The sequence below is a fragment of the Homo sapiens genome, chromosome 3 (genome assembly GCF_000001405.40).
Source record: "Homo sapiens chromosome 3, GRCh38.p14 Primary Assembly".
In the NCBI taxonomy this organism is placed as follows: Eukaryota; Metazoa; Chordata; class Mammalia; order Primates; family Hominidae; genus Homo; species Homo sapiens.
The window spans coordinates 47540976-47543795 of record NC_000003.12 but is presented as its reverse complement, the minus strand read 5'-3'; the positions used below and the strand labels follow the sequence as shown (position 1 = coordinate 47543795).

The 2820-nt window shown below is 53.1% G+C and overlaps 1 annotated feature.

Moving 5' to 3' along the window:
* Positions 351-851: an enhancer, noted in NCBI's record as "H3K4me1 hESC enhancer chr3:47584435-47584935 (GRCh37/hg19 assembly coordinates)". NCBI's record gives its function as "activates a minimal SCP1, AML or CMV promoter by ChIP-STARR-seq in naive H9 embryonic stem cells {active_cell/tissue: H9 hESC(naive)}" and the evidence as "EXISTENCE:reporter gene assay evidence [ECO:0000049][PMID:30033119]".

Genomic DNA, 2820 nt, shown 5'->3' with positions numbered 1-2820 from the left:
GGAGAATCACTTGAACCTGGGAGGTGGAGGTTGCAGTGAGCTGAGATCGTGCCACTGCACTCCAGCCTGGGTTACAGAGCGAGACTCCGTCTCAAAACAAACAAACAAACAAATGAAAAACAATATTTCTGTGATGTTTACTATATGCCAGGTAGTGTTTGAAGTGCTTTACATATATTAACTCCTTTAATTCTTAGAGCTATCCTGTGTGATAGATACTTTTATTATCCCACCTTACAGAGGAGGAGGCCCAGGCACAGAGGTTAAATAGCTTTCCGGTGGTCAGATGGTGGAGCCAGGGCTGGGCTTTGAACCCAGAGCCTTCAGCCTGTGGAGTCAGTGCCCATAACCATTCTTTGCCTCTGTGTAGTTTTTCCGCATTGGTTTACTTGCTTTCTGCCTGAGGAGTCAGAATAGAGATTTCTGAGAGCAGGGATCCTGATTGTCTTGTTCACTACCTGGTCTCAGGGCACTCAGTAGGTGGTAGTCTTTGTTGAGTGAATGGATGGATGGATGAATGAATGCATGGTAGACTCTGTTTCCTTGAGGATGGAGCAGTTTCTTGTTTGCATCGTGGCCCTGGGCTTGGAAGAGGGCTGAGCCTTCTTGGGATGTATTGATGGGGCCTGTGGAGTGAGCTGAACTCTGGATCCCTGATGCCACCCCTCTCTGAGGCCCCCGGGGAGGCCTGTGCCGAGGTCTCAGGAGCCCTCAAAAGCGTGGCCCTTTGTTTGGGTTTGCCCTCTGGTTGCCGGGTGCTCCCTCGGCCGGCTCCCTCCTCCCTTCGCTGCAGAAGAAAGGGAGCTGGCCCTCTTTCCCCTTGGCACTATGTGTGCTCATTGGAAGTTCCTGAGGCCAGGCCCAGTGGGCGGCCCGAGCTGCCATCGTTAATCACACAGCCTGCTGCTGCCTGCCCACGCGGCTAGCTTTGAGGGCCGGCCAGAGCCTCTGGTGGGAACCACTCGCTGCTCTAATTGGGCCTCTCCTGGGAGGCGGCAGGCCCTGATTCTCACTTGTCTTTACTCTGGTGACTGCTTGGCCCTCTCAAGGAGGACAGCACGCTTCCTGGTCCGGCCGGCTCTATGGCCAGCCAGGGCAGAAGTTCACCCTTGTTCTACAGATGGAGAAACAGAAACCCTGGGGCAGACCGGGTCCATGTCCAAGGCCACGACAAGGTTGCCAGGAGTAACCACCAGAAAGCCAAGTGCCATGGCTTTGCTCCTCACTCTGCTGGCAACTGGAATGAGTTCCCACAGGAAAAAAGACCTCCCTTTGGCTCCCCTGGCTTCCCAGGCCCTGCCAAATGCCAGACACCGGACTCTAGCTTCTGGCATTCATAGAGAACTATCCATGTGAGAACTGTCACCCACCCCAGAGACCCTGCCAACCTGCAAAAAAGTGGAGGAGAGCATGACCAGCAGGAGCACACTGCAGGCCCCTCTGACACGGAGCGGGACAAGCTGGTAACCAGGTACCCATGTGACTTCCCTGCCCTGTGCCTTGATTTACCCTTCCTGGAAAATGGAAAGAGTTTCAGATGCATAATGTCAGGGACCAGGGGAGGCTTGTCTGTGAGGGACTTGCAACATGCTTTCCCCAGGCAGACTCAGAGAGACTCTCGGGGCAGGATGAGCTTGATCATCAGCTGGCCCCAGACCTCCATCTGTGGCTGAAATCACCCCTGCAAAATTTCAAAGATCATGCACCTCGCACAGTTGGACTTCCTCCAGCAGAAAGCCCTCATGACTTCCCACCGTGCTTCACTCCCTGTTTTGTTCTTCTACCACTTCCCCACCTTCCCCACCTTTTGTTAGATGGGTCATTTTTTCAGTGAGCCCTCCTGCCTCCCTGAGTCACACTGTGGACCTAGTCTACTCTCTGAGCGCTTGGAATAAATGAGTAAGTCCTCCTTTTTCTTTCATCATCTTTCCAAGAACAAAATACAACTAGAGTGCCACTCCTGAACCTTCTCTCCTCTTGGCTGAATGTCTTTAGTCCCCTCAGCTGACCCTCACGTGACAGCTCTCCTGGCCCCTCAATGTCACAGGTGCTTTTCTTAGGACATTTGTGGGGGTTCGGAAGGGGCTGCGCTTCTCTAGGTGCTGCCTGAACTCAGAGGAGCACACATGCCTCCTTGCCCAGGCACACATGAACATTCACAGGGCAGGACTGGGGGACACACAGAGGGCCATGTCTGAAAGTTTATGAGTAATCGTACAAACTAACTATTCAATAAGCAAATCTCCACTCTGACCTTCATGATGACTTGGAATGCTAAGTTTGAATTTAGATTTCTTGGACTCCTCAGAGTTCTGTTTGAGAATGTGCTGGGGCCGGGAGAGGAGCCCTGCTGCCCCCAACCTGGTCCCTCTCCTTGTATCCCGGGCTGTACCTGTAATGCAGGGGATTTCAGGGATCCGCGTGCGGCCCCCTGAGGCCACATGTTCCCGCTTTGTTCACAATCCCTTAGCCTCCTCTCAGACCCCATCGCTAGGGGAGCAGGGGCTTGGAGCCTTTTGGGCAAGAGATTCTGGGATCCCCAGTGCCAAGCATGGTGTGTGGCCTCTGAGTGGGCATGTCCTTTGCCTCTGAGGAGCATTGCCCCACGGGGAGGATCACGGCCCTTCTTGCCCGGGTCTGAGGACCTCAGTGACTTGCTAACATCATGCATCTCTCAGTTTAGTCACCCTGAGCTGGTCCCCAATGTCATTTTTCTGATAGAAGTACTACTCCATTTGTTCAGATGGGTTTGGGGGCACAAGGACAGACTTGGCCTTTGTAAAAACTGAGTATCATATTGCTAACCTGTTGAAATTCTTT